The 19,189-nt window shown below is 45.8% G+C and overlaps 1 long non-coding RNA gene across 1 annotated transcript in view, besides 2 other annotated features; it reads left to right on the top strand.

Annotated features, from left to right (window-relative positions):
• Positions 1,152-19,189, top strand: part of LINC01726 (long intergenic non-protein coding RNA 1726) — a 92,799-nt gene continuing 74,761 nt past the window's right edge. Inside the window, exon 1 of the long non-coding RNA NR_109878.1 lies at positions 1,152-1,415. This is a non-coding gene — a long non-coding RNA (long intergenic non-protein coding RNA 1726). The remainder of the gene's footprint in view (positions 1,416-19,189) is intronic.
• Positions 1,230-1,834: an enhancer, noted in NCBI's record as "H3K4me1 hESC enhancer chr20:21683541-21684145 (GRCh37/hg19 assembly coordinates)". NCBI's record gives its function as "activates a minimal SCP1, AML or CMV promoter by ChIP-STARR-seq in primed H9 embryonic stem cells {active_cell/tissue: H9 hESC(primed)}" and the evidence as "EXISTENCE:reporter gene assay evidence [ECO:0000049][PMID:30033119]".
• Positions 3,046-3,651: an enhancer, noted in NCBI's record as "H3K4me1 hESC enhancer chr20:21681724-21682329 (GRCh37/hg19 assembly coordinates)". NCBI's record gives its function as "activates a minimal SCP1, AML or CMV promoter by ChIP-STARR-seq in primed H9 embryonic stem cells {active_cell/tissue: H9 hESC(primed)}" and the evidence as "EXISTENCE:reporter gene assay evidence [ECO:0000049][PMID:30033119]".

The following is a 19,189-nucleotide window of genomic DNA, read 5'->3' as shown; positions in this document are numbered from 1 at the left end:
CTCGTCTTTCTCCCAGCACCTGCAGCTTCAGGAAGTCTCTGTTAAACCACAGAATGGTCATTTCTCCTTCATTTAAATGAGGTTTTGCGCAGCCCTGAATTATTCACCCCTGAGATTGAACATCAACAATTTCTCTGTTTCTACCCTGCACCAAAGCAGTTCTGAACTCCCCAACCTGTGCAGCTAACTGTGTCCGGGAGCCATGCGGTGAGGGCCAAGAGGAGGAAACTCGTGGTTTTGAACATGAACTGATTTGAGGGGGTCAGGATCTGAGAGCTCTGAGGTTGAGCCCAGTAAGCACCAAAGGCATTGGGCTGAATGTGCTAGACCAGGAAGAGGGCATAGGGGAGAGAGTAGGAACAGCCGAGGTTTCTGAGACTCCCAGCGCTCCCCTGGAGGAGAGAACCCTCTTCCCCTCCCTCCTGCCCACCCCAAGGGTCTAGCTCTCCTTAGCCACCCAGAGTTGAGTATGGCGCCAGCGCGGTGACAGTGGCTGAGGAGCACATGGACCCTATCAGCCCACCCTGGGGAGCCATGGCTGCGGAGGCCCCGACCCCTTTGCCTCCGCTGTAGGGCCAGAGAGCATCCCTGGCTCCTAATCCACCTGTCTAAATGTATCTGTCAGGAGTGACTGGCTCATAATTCCTGGACTCTCTAGAGAGAGCACGCGGTGGGGCCACAGACAAGAATTACTCCTGGAAAAAGAAAAATCAGGTTTAAAAGAAGTGAACTCTTCCTCTCCGGCGGCATGAACACAGTACAGTCTCTGGCTCTGGGAGGTCCTGGAGACCTGGAGGAGGTTTGAGGGTCAGTGCACTGGCAGGAGGGTGCGAGAGTGGGAGCAGGGGAAGCTATGTAGAAGATTAGGCCTGTCCATGACAGCGTAGGTTTGGAGTAAGGAACAGGGAAAGGGAATGGTTTGGATTAAAGTGGGCACGCCTAAGCCAGGAGTTCCGCGAAGGCAGCGAAGAGAGGACTAAGCACGCACAGTATGCTCGGGGCTCCGGGGGTGCGGGGAGTGGGGACGCACCCTGCCCAGTGCTCTCCATTGCGGAATCTGCTAGCTTCGTCGGGCGCGAGATACCAAGAAAGGTTGATTTCCAGACCTTGGAGTCTCTGAGATAAAGGAACGCCACATCCCTGCCTCAGTCCAGTGGATACTCGTGATCCGGAAAAGCAGCTAAAGCCGCTTCTTCCCCCCAGTAGGTGAGGAGTCAACAGGCACACTCTAAAGACGAGGAAATAAAGCCGGTCGTGACACCGTGAGAGCTGGTTCGCCCAACTACCCTTTCAGGGGAACGTCCACCCCACCTCTGCTGCCGAGCTTGGAAAAGTGGCAAGGAGTCGCAGTCCAGGACAAAACTCCGCCCCCGTCCCCGTGAAGGCCGCCCGTGGCTGGGGGCTACTGTAGAGGGGTGAGTCTGGGGATTGCGCACGATGAGAGGGGGTGGTTCTCCCCGGTAGCAGAGTCCGCGAGCCTTCGTCTCAATCCTGGCCCCTTTCCCGCAGCCAGCTGTGCGCGATCGGGAGCACACAGCCCTCGCTGCAGCCTTCTGCACGGTCGGGCATAGGGAAAACCTTACAGTTTGTCGCCCCCTGTCGTCCCCCGGCCGGGTATCGCGGGTTCCCGAGCTGCAGGCTAGGCTTGGTGAGAGATGGCCCTAAGATGAGATTGCAGAAGGAAAAGAAACGTCTCTCCCACCTCCCAAGGAGGCAGCTTAGCCCTCTCCATGGCCCGGGGACAGCTACTAGTCAGCGCTGAGCGCACAGAGGTAAAGAGCTCGCGGATTCTGCGTTTTTGCTTGGCTGGGTTTGGCACCGTATTTCAGCGTCCTCTGGAAGCGGAGTGCAACAAAGTTCCGCTTCCAGGGTCGCGGGAGCCTGTTAGCTGAGGGCGCACTCAGAAACCTGGGGCAAAACTCCTCCGCCTGGGGCTGGACTCCTAGCAGGGCAGAGGATGGATCTGAGGGTACCCCAGAGGCTTCGGGCCCTCGCCCAGTTTTCCCAAGGCAGGAAAAGAAAGAGAGGTAAACTCTTTGCCGAAAGCGGGAGTCAAAAAGGAGGCGCGAAGGGGTGCCTGCCCTTCTGGGGACTGGGGGTTGGCGGCAAGGGGGGTTACTGATGAGAACTCCCTTGCTGCACGCCACCTGAGCCGTGAACTCAACACCCGAAACTTCACACTGCTAAACACCCAGGGGTTCGGTGACAGGGCCGCTCTTGGAGCTACAGTCGCCCCCACTTCATGTCTCATACTTGGCTTTGATTTTTGGTGGGTTTGTTTCCGGGAGTTAAAACAAGCAATAGGCCGGGATGTTCCCCGGGCCCATGCATTTCAAGGACTCCAGGAGAAACCTTAAGAAAAAGCTGATTTAAGTCCAACTTGGGCATACAGGTGCGCATTTCGGTTCTTGCGGGAAGTAACAGAGGGCAGAAAACACAGGTGGCACTCCCCGAGAGCCCTGGCCAGACTTGGGCCTAACAACGAAAGCTGGTACCCACCAGCAGCAGCCCGCAGGGGCCGCAGGGCCGGGATCCCGGGTCTTCCTCACGACGTCCTAGCCTCAGGCCTTAATAGGCCCGCTTTCGCTCCTGCATGAGTCCTGGCTCTGCTCAGGACCTGCGCTTTTACTGTGTTTTTAAGAGTTTTAAGAGCACTGAGCCATGAGTCCTGTGGTTCAAAATCAAAGTCAAATTGAGTCTCTTAATTTTCTTCTTAAATTTACGTTTGAAGGGGAAAATAAAAAAGCAGCTCGGGCTAAAAACGCACTTTATGCATCAGGTTATAGTACCAAGCTCCACACGTACACATGCCCGTAGTTTTGCAAAAAAGATCCGCCACATCATACTTAAAAATAAGAAGAAAATTGACGAAAAGAGAAATGAGGAGCTGCTAGCTGCAAAGAAACTATGGGAAGAAGAGCTGAGCCAGATCGGGGAGCTGCAAACCCTGGGGGAATGCGAACAACTAACAAACCAAAAGCTGGCTTGTGTAACAACACAACGAAACTCCGCGGGGAATGACTGCGGCGGTGGAAGGAGGGAGCGAGGAAGGGGAGAGGAAGACTAGATTCTGAATTGGCGCCTGTGAGCGCCGCCTCGGAGCGCAAGGTCAGAGCGTCCTCCCAACAGAGTGGATCCTCAAGGACGAGGTGGGGAGTGCGTTTTGCACAGAACCTGCCTCTCCTGACTAGGACACACAGACTCTCCAGACCCCAAATGGAAGGTGTTGAGGACCCTGCCAACTGGCATTAAAACAGAGCCCCCAAGAGCGAGAAATAACGTCCTTGGCTTCGCGGACCCATTCCCGCGGCTTATTTTCCTTTGGCCTGCTGCTGACCAAGGCGGTCGTAAAGTTGGTTCTTTGCCTAGGCCTCCATGATGTTCGCTACCCTGGAAATGTTTATTATCGAAAATGAGTCGGGTCAGCTGTGGTGGATGGAGCACCGTTTCCGCTGACACTGGCCACTACCAGCGAGCAACGTCCTTGGCAATGCATGGCGAGAGAAGCCAGGACAACTTTTTTCATTTTCCTAAAGTGAAATGAATAAAAAAGAATAGGTGAACATTTTCAATGTGATTAACAAAACGGTGGAAGACCAGTGCTCCTCAATTCTGTTCAGAGATGTAAGAAAAAAGCAAATTAGAAAACAGATTTGCTGTGAAACCTGCACTAGAAATAAATAGGGGGAAATTGAGTATTGGCAACGAAGATCTGAGATACTTTCTACCCTGCAATGCAGGGATCTGACTACTACATTAATAACATTTACTTTGGAGTAGATATATTTTAAACGTGGAATTTGGCTGATAAAAATAAACTACAGAGGGTTGGTGCCCTTTGTAGGAAGAAACGGTTTCTAGAGCCTTCAGGAGGATCTGGCATTCTTGCCATTCTTGTGTGTATATTCTCACTAGCCCCAAATCGAGTTCTGCAGATTGCTATTATGTCTCTCTCTTTCCCTGGCAATGAGCATGTCAAATAAGCCTCAATTTCCTCTTATATAAAATGACCTCTACTGTGCAATTAGATCTGATTTAATTTCATTTCATCAACATTAATGCCTGCAGAAATTTCCAGACATGGGTCAAAATTCCACCTTCGCAGTGAGCACTCAAAAAATGTTTAAGTGACAGTATTAAGTCTAAATGTCACTAATAAAATGGAAATTATTTGGGAAACTTGAAATGTCCATGTGGCATATCTCCCAGGTATTTGGAAAAGGGGAGATCTAAGAGTAGCCACAGGGGTACAAAGGATAGAAATGGTATTTGTGAAGGGAGGCGAGAGGGAGGTGGTGTAAATGCCTGCAGGATTGTTCACAAAGGCAGCAGTAAGAAGGGTCTCCTGCTGTCTAGAGGATACCCCTGCAGATCTGACTAGCTCAGCTGCAAATATTGACGCGTGTGAGACATCCACACTGGCCCAGCCTAATTGGAACCAGCTTGAAGTGTGTTGCCCTTGAATGCAAGGGTAGTGCTTTGGAAATTCTGTTCCTACATGGTAATAGAACCTGAATAATGGACAAGGAAGGTGAAGGACCCATGTGGAGCCCTTTGTCTTGATTAAAGACAATGTCAAGCCAGTCCTTGTTTGCCTGGACTTGTCTAGTTTCTTATTAAAGATCAGTCCTCTCCAATCTTCAGCACACACCCACACAAAAACATAATTCAAGCCCTGAAAATGAGATAGGTAGAAGGTTTGCTAAAGGAACGCTAACACCTGCAGCTACTGCAGGTGTTAAAACCAAAGTACTGCTCCCATCTTCAGTTATCCATTTCTTCCATCATTAAAATTATGATTAGAATTAGATGTTAAGGCTTTTATTTTTTATATCCAGCATACTATTTAGAAACACCGCTATTTTGGAATAAAGACTTTGTTACACGGTTTTGTAAACTCAGAAGTCTTGAAGTCCTTTATAATTGAATATTCTCATGAAAGTAGGATCTCCTTCATGTTCATTTAATTTATCATATGTATATCACTGTTATTTCCACCCACCTTGGCATAAATCATTTTCCTTGTTAGGAATCAAGGATCTTTTATGATGAGCTTTCTTTAAGGCACAAATGGATTCTTTTTACTTGTGAGTAACTTTTTACTGTCTGCCTAGCCAATCACTTTTAACTAATTATTGTTCTACATATTTTTGTCTCTAATTGCTATGACATCCCAATGCTTGCTACATATACATACATACATACATACGTACATGCATACATACACACACAAAAAAAATGCACACACTCACACATATAATATGTCCGCAGCTTGGTGATGGTTTTAATTTTCTTCTCTCCCCCCCCTTGTGTACGGACTATGAAGTTTTACTGAAGACCTGTAATGCCTCCGGTTTTGATTTAATGTTTTGGAGTTTGTGATCTCATTGCCTGGCATGGAAAATATTAGACAGGGTCTGTAGATTTTATGCAGGAAAAGAGCCGCATCACCACCGCGGGTGAGTGCTTCTCCCCAGTCCTGCAATAAGCCGACTGAACAGTCATTTAGAGCCGATGTTCAGTTCTGTGCCGTTGAATAGACACCACTTCAACCAGTCCTGCTTTTGTAAAGGGTTCTTTAAGAAACACTGAATCTCAACTGGTGCTGCATATTGAATTCACCAAAGGGAGACTTAGAAGGCCCTGATGCCTGGGACCCATCCCCAGAGATTCCGATTGAATTTTTCTGGGCTGTGGCCTGGACACTGGGATTTTTAAGAGCTGCCCAGGTGATTCTAATGCGTATTGAAGTTGGAGAATCTGTTTTAGGAGAAACTGGGAAGAGAAGGGCTGGTGTAACATGATACTTCTTGCTTCACAAGTGTTTTCCTGGATGCCAGAGGAAAGGCGGGTGGCTCACTGGTCTCACCTCTGTGAACACCTTACAGTGGCTCATGAAAATATATTTAAATCCATGTCTAAAACAGCCTTCCTGGGCATTGTCACACTATGTCACTTTGACCCCTCCTGGAAACAGGGAGAACACTGCCTTCCCAGGCTGGGTTGGCTGCCTGACGTTTGTCATCTTTAAAGATCCCTTTGTCTTCCTGCCCTCACACAGGTGACCCCAGCCTCCTGCTTAGGTATAACCGTCCGTACAGCTTCACTGTACAGTAAGCTGGAGGGGTTGGGGAGCAGCAGAGAGTCAGCAACTGACTTAGCCTCTCGGGCTGACAGATCAAATTTGGGAGAGGTGGCAATGAATCATAAATGCTACCCAGTGAGGGAGTCCGAATGATTTCATTGTCCGAGGAGGTGGGAGTTGAACTCTACTCTTAGCACTGTTAAATAGCACAGTTCTCTAGATATGTAAGGTCACAGAGCAATCATAACCCTCAAGCTTCTGATGCCATCTGAGAAATACAGAATCTTCTGAAGGGCTCAGTGTAGTTTGTATCTTTATGACTAGTGGGGTTGTTAACATTATTTCATTGCCATGCAGCTTAGAACGGGGGTGACTTTTGCACACTGGCTAGGGACTACTGCATTGCAGATCTGAGTGTTGCTTTTATCCAGACCCAGACTTGTGGTCCTCATAGAACACTTCACATATGCTCTTCCAAGTCTCAGAAATCAACTAAAAGAAAGCTCCTTTTCATTTTCGCTAGCCTCACCTTGGTAATACATGTTAAAATCTAAACTGCTTGATTTGATTTGATTTTTATTGTTTTGTACGCTTATTCTAAAATACAAACGTCATTTCATTTTTTAAACAAGTTGCAAAAAATATGGAAGTAACCGCATCACTGTAGGACCTTTCTGTCCTCAAAAGGTACATAAAAGTACAGCATTGTAAGCAATGGTTTTTCAGATTCTTTTTAGCTGTAAAATGTTGTTACTAAGTCACTATTAAGACTAAAAGAGCAAGTACACAAATTCTTGAGGGGCTTTGGGTCTCATTTATCTTTTAAAATCTTGCATGGACACCTCTTGAGAAGATCTTGAAATGCATATTTTAGAAACCTCATCGGTTTTTTTAAAGTATCTTGTAAAATATTCTTTACATTCATCCACTTTAGTAAAATTAACTGTGTGTTATATGATGATGTTAAAATAATTTATAGGTACATGAAAATTAATAATAGCAACAACAGAAACTAAAATGTCCTTAAAATGACATTTAATATATGGTATTTCTCGGCAACACCCAGAAGCTTAAGGGTTATAGGGTTACAGGAAATGCAGTAACAGATGCTGAACGAGGGTGCAGGACTGTAGATTTTATGAACGGGTATGCTGAGGAAATGAGTTTTGACAAGGTTTCTAGGCATTTCAACATTGGCAAAGTGGCTAATTGAATTAACATCCGTCAGACTGGGAAATGCTCTACACTTGGAATATCTCTTTTTGGCAGGCCAACAAGGCGAGAGGTTTGCTCCCCTGTAATGGGTACCCTGTAACGGTACTGTCCATTTCGTTTTGCATAATAACACCTCTGGCTGAGCCCAAATTCTGTGTGGTTTAATCTCTGTTATGCAATTTTGTTATCCAAAATATAACCCAGTTCGTTTTGCAAGGGGCTGGTCATTTCATGTGCGGGATATGTGTTCATGTTTGCGATGTCAGCCAGCTGATTTGGGCAGAGTGAATCAGGCACTTTCGTCTTACTTTCTCTTTAAACTGGGGTGTAGGTAACTGTGGAAGAGGAGCTGTGGAATTGGCTGGGGCTTGACATTCAGCAGAACTTTAATTTGGACGAATAGCTTTAGGCAGGGTTTGATGGCGTTTTGTTACGACTCAGGCTTGAGGTTCTTCTGCCATTTTAGGCTGTACTCACCTGCCCTTCATTACAGAGGGAGTGGGGATTTAATGAATGACCCTCTGTTCTCATTGTGCCTTCAGAGCTTCTCTTTGCAGCTCTAGTATTTAGGCTGCTAGGAAGGTTGAAAAAATTTGTGACCAGACACTGTTAGAGCTACTACCCATGGCTAGTGCCTGCATGTGTGTGTGTGTGTGTGTGTGTGTGTGTGTGTATTTCATTGTCGAGTAAGCACACAGAGGATCTACACATGCTCTTTAAGGCTCAGTGTTTATAGGTCAAAAAATGCATATGCACCTCGAACTCAGAAAACCACCTGGCTACAGAAAAGTACAATATGGACAAGTCCAGCCATTTTTTTTAGCTCAAAAGTCCTCAGGCTGAAATCCATGTTCTGGATTCCACCTCCTGAGGCTTAATCTCATGGATCTCATGGACCTCAGTGTTTTCATCTATATGATAGGGTCATGGCCAGGGCCAAATCACCTAACCACAGAAAACACTTGATGACAGGAGATGCTGAATCACTGGCCATTATTCTCATTACACTATTTTTCTATACTTTTTTTTTGAGACAAGGTCTTCCTCTGTCAAGCAGGATGAAGTGCAGTGGCACAAACACAGCTCACTACAGCCTCGACTTCCCAGGCTCAAGCCATCCTCCCACCTCAGCCTCCTGAGTAACTGGGACTACAGGTGCACGCCACCACATCTGGCTAATTTTTTAATTTTTTCTCTCGCCATGCTGCCCAGGCTGGTCTTGAACTCCTGGCCTCAAGAAATCCTCCTGTCTCAGCCTCTCAAAGTGCTGGGATTACAGGCATAAGCCACTATGCCCTGCTTATTTTTCTATACTTTTAAAAAACTAATACATTTTAATTTGTGTCTTTTTTTTTTCTGACGAAGTTTCTCTCTTGTTGCCCAGGCTAGAGTGCAATGGCATGACCTCAGCTCATCACAACCTCCGCCTCCCAGGTTCAAGTGATTCTCCTGCCTCATCCTCCCGAGTAGCTGGGATTACAGACATGCACGACCACGCCCAGCTAATTTTGTGTTTTTAGTAGAGATGGGGTTTCTCCATGTTGGTCAGGCTGGTCTCGAACTCCCGACCTCAGATGATCTGCCCACCTCGGCCTCCCAAAGTGCTGGGATTACAGGCGTGAGCCACTGCTCCCGGCCTTTGTGTCTCTTTTATAGGACATCTGTTAAACATGCAGTGAATGATTTGCCAATAGAAATATGTACAAATCAAGCCATCTTAAATTGAGTCTCGAGAAGAAAACAGCCCTATTTTTCTGAGTTTCCATTAGCTTGTCATGTTCTTCCTTGGTTCAGAAGCACTTCACAGGGCTGCATTCAAGACCCTGAAGTGACACTCACTAGGGAAACAGGGTTAGCAGCGTCTGTTGCCAATAGAAGATGAGTGATGGAGGTGGTGAGTGACAGCTATACGCTCTCCAGTTTCAGAAAGCTGAGGAAGACGGCAATCCACAGCTGGCCAGGTATTTTCCTGTACCATGGGAGAACTATGGTTCTTCCTGAGGCCCAGTCCTCTTGAAATGCTGGGCCCTGTGCTAAACAGGTATCACCGGCTTGTTCTGGCTAAACCCACTGTAACATCAAGCTCTTCCTTTGCCAGAAAGAAGAAGATATTTTACTTCTGTGTTTACTGTTATGCTTTTTTGTCCTGAGTGTGGTTTTTCCCCTTCCTTGTTTGCCTTCTGAACATGTTCTTTCACCAGGAGCTCCCTCAGGGAATGGGCCCAGTCCCTTACAAATCAAGCCTGGGCTTGGGGTTCAGGGACTGGCTCTCTGAGCAGGCCTTTGCTTGTGACAAGCGTTCCTGACTAAGGAACAGTGAGACTTGACTCTTCCATTTATCCCAAATTACCATTTTTCAAAAAATTCACGCCTCTCTTGGGTTGCCCCCATCTATAACTTCTCCGCAATCCCTGAGGTGCCTGATGTCTAAGATTTTAGTGAAGTGACATCTTCTATTATGAAAATGTTGTACTCTTGGGATAAGCAGGCTCCTAGTTATTCGTCCTTATTAATGCGGTGGAGTGCTGTAGGGAGCTCATGGCCTCTGTTCACCATGAGGTTGGGCAGCTGTGTATTGTAGCTAACGTTGCCCAGCATGCCCAGATCCCCCCACCAGCACTGAGACGCTCATTCCCTCAAGGCTGGTGGCTCACAGCAGAGCCTCCTTTCCATTGCCTTAGGCTAAAGAGAACCATAAAACCCAAGCAAACACCCCCTTCCTGGGGACCACTCACTGTGGGGTACAAAAGCTTCAATGGAGGACAACTCTGAGGACCATCCCAGCACCAGAGCTCCACGGAAGATCAGCTTGGATCTGTTTTGCTACTGCATCACAGTCAGACTTCTCTCCTGGTCAGCCCTGCTCCTCATCCCTCACAGGCATCAATCTCCATAACTCTTCCCAGTACACCAGCTGCCTGCCGGGAAATCCAGCCCATGCCATGCCAACCATGTGGGTTTGTTATAACAGTTTTGTTGCTGCAAAGATGAAGGCATGGAGATAAAATCATTGCTACCCAATCACACAGAGATTTCTATCTCTGTGGCTCCAGCCACAGCCCCCATGCCCTGGCAGGAGGAATTATTCTGAGAAAGTGGGAGTTCTTGCCCAAAGGAAATGATTTAGCCTGTGGTGCCCCAAGAGCAAGGAGGGGACAGGCTGAGCTACAGCAGGGCCACGTCAGAGTTAGGTTAACATCGGGTCTCTTAGAATCTCAGCAGCAAGAGAAAGGCAACGAATATGGAGGTGGGAGGGCTCTGTGACAAATGCAGCGATTTAAGAATGTGGTCTGGCTCTGTTTCCAGCACATGTAGATTTCTGAAATGGAAAAGCGACAGAACTTCCTAGGGACCCCACAAATTAGAACTTGGGAACATAAACTATGTTGGTGGGCTCATACCAGCTCTAAAAAATAGCTTCATTGAGCAAATTAATCAAGTCATTTTGATCACAAGGAAAACCCACATCTGCTGAGAAATAAATGATTTTCAGACCCTTTAAGAGGTGATGTTAACGTGTAATCCATTTGAGCAAATATAAAGTTCATTCTTTCTACAGTCGACACCCGCTGGTGAGGCAGGGCGAGAGGCAGTTTTTGCCTTTGAGGACTTTGTGTTCTGCTCACCTGCTTCTTAAACTTGGATGTGCCTCTCCTTTTAGTACTTGGCAGTGGGATGGAGGAAGGGCCCACCACAGGAAAGCACGTCTTCCTGAAATCTCAACCTCACCTAATGATTTTGGAAAATAACATTATTTTGATATCAAAACAAGTGTAAACTCTTCCTGGCGCAGGATAGAAATTTTTGTCCATTTGAAGGACAGAATAGAAAACATTTAAAAATGCCGCCCTGGTTGTCTAGAACAGGTTGAGGTCCCTTTCCGGAGTGGCAGGGCATTTACCTCTGGGAACCAGGAGGGGGTGCTGTAGCAGAATACTTTGAGCCCCACTGTAAGCAGAAACAAGGTGAACACACATTTCTGAGACTGAGGAGGCCAGGGGCCGCCAAAGAATACGGGGCATTTCAGGAAGGAATTGGCATCTCAGACGGACCTTGACCAATGGGTGGAGTTTGACAGGCGGAAGTCCAGAGGCCAAAGGAAGGACAGGAAACGTCTCCCTGGGAAAGCAAAGGTGGTCGCAGAGGTAAAGTCACAGGAAAGCAGGCTTGAGACAGTTTGGCTCAAGAAAGGAGCTGGGCAGTGTGGGATGTGGTGGCGCGGAGAGCAGGAAAGAGGGTTGAAGTTGATCACTCATGAGCCCAAAAGGCAGGTTAAAGTGCGGTTACTGAATTGAGGGGGGCATCCAGCGAGGGGAGAGGCCCAAGTCCTGGGAGGTGGAACATTGACTTCAGCCTGAAGAGGCCTCCTGACTCACCCACTTGCATCCTGTGACCCAGGCAAGTCATCTAACCTCCAGACATCAGTTTTTCCATCTGGAAAATGAAGTCACAACAGAACCCATTTTGTGAGGATGGCCAACAATTAAATGAGATGAAAAAGATAAGGAGTTTGGTACAATGTCAGCTGCATAACAAGTGCTCAATAAATGATTGTTATTATAATAATATTATATAGCTATAATAGATGACAATTTTCATATAATACATAATTGTTATCATGGTTTTCAAGACTAACCATGAGGGTACTGAGAAATCAAGAGGAAGCCAGATGAGCTGTGAGCTCGGAATGCCAAGAGAGGAAAGATGCTCGGACAGACTTCCTTGCTTGGCTAACTGTGAGACGATCTTAGCTATTCACTAAGGCAGAATTTCTGCAAGCCTTAGCCTGCTGGCATCCTAGATATTCCTCCCTGGAAAGCAACAAAGCCTCATTTTTAAAATCTCTTCTGAGTTGAGTTGCACTTTCACAATGTTATTCCTCTCTGTGCTCCCACCCTAAAACACTCAGTCTTGGGAGCAACCCCTGGAAATCAAAGCAGCCCTTGGAGGATGGCCTTGAGGGGTCGGACCGCAGAGGGAAGCAAAGGCAGGAGTCAAGGAGCCCAGTCAAGGGCCCCCGTGGGCTTCAGTGGGGGAGGACTGTGGGCAGAATCACCTGTTTGCTTCCTTTAACTTTGACTTTCAGACACCAACTTCTCCGCCATTGTCTGTCTTCTGGGTCTCTGCCCAGCTGCTAGTAACTGGGGGTTCCCCAAAGCCAAGGGCTGGGTCCAGCCTTCAGGCTTCTTATGTGATGGTGGGGTCAGCCCTGCAGTTCAGGGAGCCCCATCTTCAGCCTGCTGTGGGACCGTGCCGCTGCTTCGCATGGACCCCTGGCCTACCCTCCTGTCTTCTCTCACTTTCGAGCTCCATGGAAAGGACAGTGCTGTTTCCCTCCTCACTCTCCTCACCTCTGGCTCAGCCAGCCTCTCTTGCTGTGGTTGTCCGTTGCTGCTGCCTTTGTCAGAACGTGCTCCAGGCTTCTCCGGAGTGGTCTTTGCGCCATGCCTTGCCCTCCGTCCCTTCTGCCTTTCTGCTCTCAAGGCTCTAATCTCCCCAAGATCGCCCAAATCTTGTGATTTTTTTCTCTTCCTTCACTCATTCCTCCTTTCAGCCCCTGCACCCTAAAATGTAACAATTCTCAATCTCTTTAGTCTTACTTTTTCCTCTCTGGAGGACCTCTGCTGTATCCACTGCTTCAAGCCATGCTCACAGGAATTCCAACATCACAGCCCCCTCCCCAGCTGCCACCTCTTCCCAGAGCCCTGATTCTCATTTCCAGCCACCAGCTGCACTCCTGCCCCATGACACAGGCCTTCGGGACCCTAGGAGGCTGACAGGCTCTTTCTCCCAGCTCTGCCCCTCTCCTGGCTGTGACTCCGGCACCCTCTTTTCCACTTCACCACCTCCCCATGACCTCATCTCAACCACCATCACCCCTAATCCTGTTTGTCCTGCTTCACTGGTACTTTTCGTACAGTTGGAACCCCCTTCATTCCATCTCCAGGCAACTTCTCCTAGATGCCTTGATTCACCTGCTTTGCTGATTGGATTCCTGACTCCAGCATCTTCTCTCCTCCCAAATCTCCACAACACTAACCATTCTCTCCTCCCGAATCTCTACAACAGTAACCATCCACCAGATGAGCCTTTCCACTTTTTATTTAAGCATCCCAGCTTCTCTGGAGGCTCCCCTAGGCCTCCATCTTCCCCTAAAATGAATGAATTGAACCTGTTTCCTGTTACTTGGTTCAGACTTCTAGTGCCTCCCTCAGCACATGGCCCCTAGTCATTTTTGATAAACCTGTCTCCCCAGGAGATCACCAGCTACTGGCTGGGTGCTGAGTGGTGTTCATCTCAGTGCCCCAGCACCTGGAGCAGTGCCCACTGTCTTAGGCACACAGGAAATGCATGAACAGATAAATAGAACTGCAGCTCCAATGGATTCAAAGAGACTCAAAACCCTTTAATGGCACCCCACCACCTGCAGAATAAAGTTCAGGCTCCCATCTGGACAGGTGGGGCCCCCCAGTGCTGACCCCAAGGGCCATTTTTGTCCTCCAGTGCCCTCTGCTCCCAGCAGGCCCATGGTGCTCTCAGCTGCTACCCACACTCACCCAGACATTGCTCCTCTGAGCTTTTCCTCCTGCTATCCACTGCCTGTCAGCTTCTCCTCAATCAGCACCTGTTGAAACCAAGATCCAGCTCAAGTGCTTCCCCTTCCATGACACATTTTTAAAATTGCCCCCTCAAAATCATGGGCCACTGTTCCCCAGTGAGTGCTTTTTGCAGGGTGCACCTTGTTGCTGGGGCTTCCTGTTACACATACTGGTACACAAGACTTCTCCTTCCTGAGAAGCTGTATACCTTTCAGACCCAGTACCATTCATGTTTAAAATGTTTTTTTTTTCTTTTGAGACGTAGTCTTGCTCTGTTGCCCAGGCTGGAGTGTAGTGGCATGATCTCAGTTCACTGCAAACTCTGCCTCCCAGGTTCAAGCGATTCTCCTGCCTCAGCCTCCTGAGTAGCTGGGATTACAGGTACCCACCTCCACTCTCGTCTAATTGTTGTATTTTTAGTAGAAACGGGGTTTCGCCATTTTGGCCAGGCTTGTCTTGAACTCCAGACCTCAGGTGATCCACCCACCTCAGCTTCCCAAAGTGCTGGGATTACAGCCACTGCGCTCAGCCGTTTTTAAATTTTATTTTTTGTAAATATGTAAGATATTCGCATGACTTGAGGGTCCACACGATACATAAAGGTCCACCTTGAGAAGCCTTCTTACTCACACCCTGCCCTGTCCTCCCTGAGGTCAGTTTTTAATCTGCTTCTTTTGTTTCCTTTTATGCAAATACATGCAAATAAGAGTACATGGTCTTTTCTTTCCCTTTCTTACCCAAAAGGCGGCATGCCAGGTACTCTTTCTGCACTTGCCTGTATTCACTGACTCCAGTGATTTTTCCATAACAGCACATGGAAAACCTCACAGCCTCTGTTAATAGCTGCGTGGTGTTCCACTTACTGAGGTACCAAAGTGTTTTTAGCCTTTGAATTGTGTCTAGTTCTTTGACATTTTGTGGGCACACAGGTATGCATCTGTGGGATAAGTTCCAGAAGTAGGATTTCTGTGCAAATAATATATGCATTTGTAATTTTGATAAATATTCCTAAATGGTCCTTTCCAAGGGTTGTACCATCTTCTGCCCCCAACGGTCACTTTTTTTCAGCCAATCTAATAGGGCTGGATGGTAAGTTATTATTACATATCATGACAGTTATTACAATTACATCTGCATTTCTCTTCTTCAGAATAAGATTAAACATCTTTTCACATGTTTAAGCCCTTTTGTAGTGGTTTTGTGAAATGTTTTTGTTTATTTTTATGTTGGGTTGTTGGCCCTTTTCTCAGATTCTCGGAAATCTTCACATACTGGAAAGATTTGTACTTCTCTGTCATATAAGATGCAAATATTTTTTCCTAGATTCTCAGTTGTCTTTTGATTTTGCTTATGGTGATTTTTTTTTTTGATGTACAAGTTCTTGACTCTTAGGAGTCAGAGTAGTCTTTTCTTTTTAATGGATTCTGGATTTTTGTGTTACAACTAGAAAAGCTTTCCTTCCTCCATGATATAAAAAATTATTCCATGCTTCTGTCTAGTACTTTCATGGCATCATTTTCCATATTTAACCCGCTAGGGTTAACCTAAATGTGTGGTGTGAGCTATGAATCTGTCTTTCTTCAAGTCACCTAGTAGAGGAACAACCCATAGAATTGGAGGTCTGAGCTTGACCATTACCAAAGCTCTGAACCCACTCTCTTGGCCTCTTATCCTGCCATTCTATGCCGTTCCTTCTGTGTACAGTAATTGACCAGTTCTTCATTCTAAAATGCCTTTGACAATGCTATTCTCCAACCTACAACTTTCAATACTCCTCCTCCCTACTCTGCAGCACCTATGGCCAAACATTCCACAAATTGTCCAGGCTCAATGTTACCAAAAACAGAAAGGAGAGGAGTTCCCATTTCTCACTTTTGAGCAACCAGGTCATTCTGCCTAGGGAGGAATCTTCACCTCCTCTGTATTACCAGGCTGACTTAGGGAGGTAGTAGAGTAAAGTGGTTCAAGCTAACAATGGCAATAATATCATTATTTAGTCTTGCAATGCACCAGACTCTGTTCTAAGTATATATATGCAAAGCACTTAGCACATGGCCTGTTATATGTGTTTTTAAAGTATTATTATCCATATTTCTAGCTTCATCTTGCTTTGCTTCCCTCTATGAGGTTTCTATTTTTGATATTAGTTTATTAGCTATACCCGGAACACTTTAGAGTTAAAAAATTGTCTTCAGGTCTTTCACGGCCCTAATGATATCCTATTCATCAATAAGGCTGTCAACATCTGAACCAAATGATCAATCTTTTTCTTTTTCTTTTTCTTTTTTTTTCTTTTTGGAGACAGGGTGTCTCTCTGTTACCCAGGCTAGAGGAGTGCAGTGTTCAGTGGCACGACCGTAGCTCACTGCACCTTTGAACTCCTGGACTTAAGTGATCCTCCTGCCTCAACCTCCTGAAGCACTGATATTACAGGTGTGAGACACCATTCCTGGTCTCCAATTATTAATCTTAATATCACAAAGAGAGAAACAACCGGACCTTATGTGTCTCTGTATGGTGCAGTAGGAAGCCCCAGGCCCATGGAGTAAAACTGAATCTGATAAAAACTTTGAATCTAATCACCAGCTTACAGGAATTATAAGATAAAGGTTCTTATTAAATGACCTCATGAGGATGCAATTAGCCAAATCTGAAATGTGGGAAATTTTACAGAACAACGGCCTAACACGTTCTGTAAATAAATGGCAGTGGAAAACAGAAGGGTATGTAACACATAAAAGTAAAATTAGAAGAAATAAAAGAGACCTAAGAGATAGATCAACCAGTGGAGAGGGTTGACCTTGTTTGAATTCTGATTCAAACAAATCAACTGCGAAAATTCATTTATTGATCCACCACAGAAATGTGAACACTGACAAAATGTTAGAAAATATTTTTAAATTATTGTTAATTGTTTAGGTGCATAGTAGTGTTGTGTGTTTGTTTTTTTTTAAATCCTAATCTCTTAGCGAGACATACTGAAACATTTTCTGATGAAATGGCATCTGAGATTGGCTTCAGCACAATCCAGCAAATGTACAAGCTATATTCCAATGCATTTCTTGCCCATGCTTATTATATCAGAAGCCACTCAAGGTCAGGAAGCAGATCGTACATTCTTCCACTGGGCCTTGAGTGTAGATTTTCCAGGAGGCATATGTTGAATTTTCGGAACACATTCACATCAGCAGAGGAGCAGAGCTTGGTTGCCAAGTGTCCCTCATTTTGAGGGTTGGGTAAGTTGGGTCATCACATGAATATGACAAGATGATAGGAGTCTGGTGAGAGTTGGCCTTCTTAGTTTTTCATGGAAAACATTGCCAAACTTATGCTCAGCACGTAGTCTCCTTCCACCAACAGAAGCCTGGGAAATGGCAGTAACAAGAGCTTCATTATTGTAACATCCAACCCCCCTTGTGTGGAGCACAGGAAAATAAAACACTATGTAGTCCACTTAAAATGGTCTTTAAGGCTTTTAGTGTTTTGTTCCCAAACATAGTTGAACTCAAAGAGCTCTCTAAAGACAGGCCAGAGTCCATTGCTCTGTTTCTTTTCCTAAATGCTATCCTCCTGTTCACCTACAATTTAGAGAGCTACAATTCCTGCTTACTTAAAATACACAGATGAGGCCAGGCGTGGTGGCTCACACCTGTAATCCCAGCACTTTAAGAGGCCGAGCCGGGTGGATCATTTGAGGTCAGGAGTTTGAGACCAGCCTGGCCAACATAGTGAAACCCCATTTCTACTAAAAATACAAAAATTAGCCGAGCATGGTGGCATGTGTCTGTAATCCCAGCTGCTCAGGAGGCTGAGGCAGGAGAATCACGTGAGCCAAGATCATGCCATTGCACTCCAGCCTGGGCAAAAGAGTGAGACTCCATCTCAAAAAAAAAAAAATGTCAAGTTTGAAGCTGAGTTTATTCACGTCATATGAAGCACAGTTTTCCAGCTTTAACTTTATCAGCAAATCAGCATGAAGAACACCAGTAAAACATGTCCATCAAGGAGAACATTTTTTAGACCCAAATTGTCTTTCTTAAAGAGCTGGCCTGCTTCCTCTTCAGATGCGCTGTTCTATACTCCATCATGTTTCCCCAACATTTTAATGTTCAACTTCAACTACTATATTGGCTATCACTGCTGGAATATTCATCATCCATTTTTGGCCTTGCTATTTAATTTTTTATTTTATTAGCTTTATTGGCATACGACCCTACTGACACACCAATATAAAATAAAGCAGATATTTAGAACTTTTATGGAAGCCTAACATGTGTAGAAGCTGTCAGATGCTATTGGATATGATTTTGAAAAATGTCAGGTTTTGATGTAATGGGAGGCAAAGATGGGTGATGGCCTGGTAATCTGAGGGGAAGTCCTCTCACCATTCATAATGATCTTGCATAAAACACTCTACCAATGGATACATTTTGTTTTCTCTGGAATGGGACATTGGCCATCCCGTTCCATTTGTTTTTCTCATCTCTAGTCTCAGAAATTTTGTGTGGGTAACTTTGGACAGCAAAGAGATTATCACATTATTCCTGATAACCACAAGCAGATTCTGTTCAGAAACCACAGAGTGGCTTGGAGCTCAGATGCAGCAATGCTCTGACCATGACCTTCAGTGTGTCATCATTCCTAGGACTTCTTGATCCTTTGCTTCAACTGCACATTCCGGCACAGAGGCATCTGCATCTGACTCTTGGCAGTGCAAGGAAGTCTGAGTTCTCCCACCACTGGTGGATTGACTTGAGTCATTTCTACTCCCAAGCCAGAGCTGCCCCAGATGGGAGCACACACTGAGAAATGGCTGCCCAAGCCAGGGTGTCAACTGTAACTCATTAATAATGAAGGCCCCTCTAAGTGTCCCTTTCTGCAGCAGTCACTGGAGCACAGAAAAAAAAAGTGTTGTTTAGTATTTCCAGCTGGGAATCACCTGAATTGCATTATACTCACCATTCAGGTCATGAAAGCAGAATTGGAACTCTGAATTTCAAAAGAGGTGAAGAGGCTTCCTGTGTTAAAAAGATAATAAATTTTAAAAAAAAGAAGATAAGGTGTTTATAAGTTTAAAAAAAAAAAAAAGACTATTTCCAGGGAACATTCCTTTTACACCTAAGAATAGAAGCTGTTTCCAAGGTGAAACTCGTGAGGTGAGGATAGTTTTATGACCTAGTGCTAAGCCCCTGCATGAGAGGACCTGCATCTGAAATACTGGAAAATCACAGCAGCCACACACATAGAGCAAATGAACAATTAAAGGGGACAAAGGAGACAACGCAGTCAC

Source organism: Homo sapiens, chromosome 20 (genome assembly GCF_000001405.40).
Source record: "Homo sapiens chromosome 20, GRCh38.p14 Primary Assembly".
In the NCBI taxonomy this organism is placed as follows: domain Eukaryota; kingdom Metazoa; phylum Chordata; class Mammalia; order Primates; family Hominidae; genus Homo; species Homo sapiens.
Note: the sequence above shows the minus strand (reverse complement) of the source record. Positions and strands in the feature narration are given on the sequence as shown.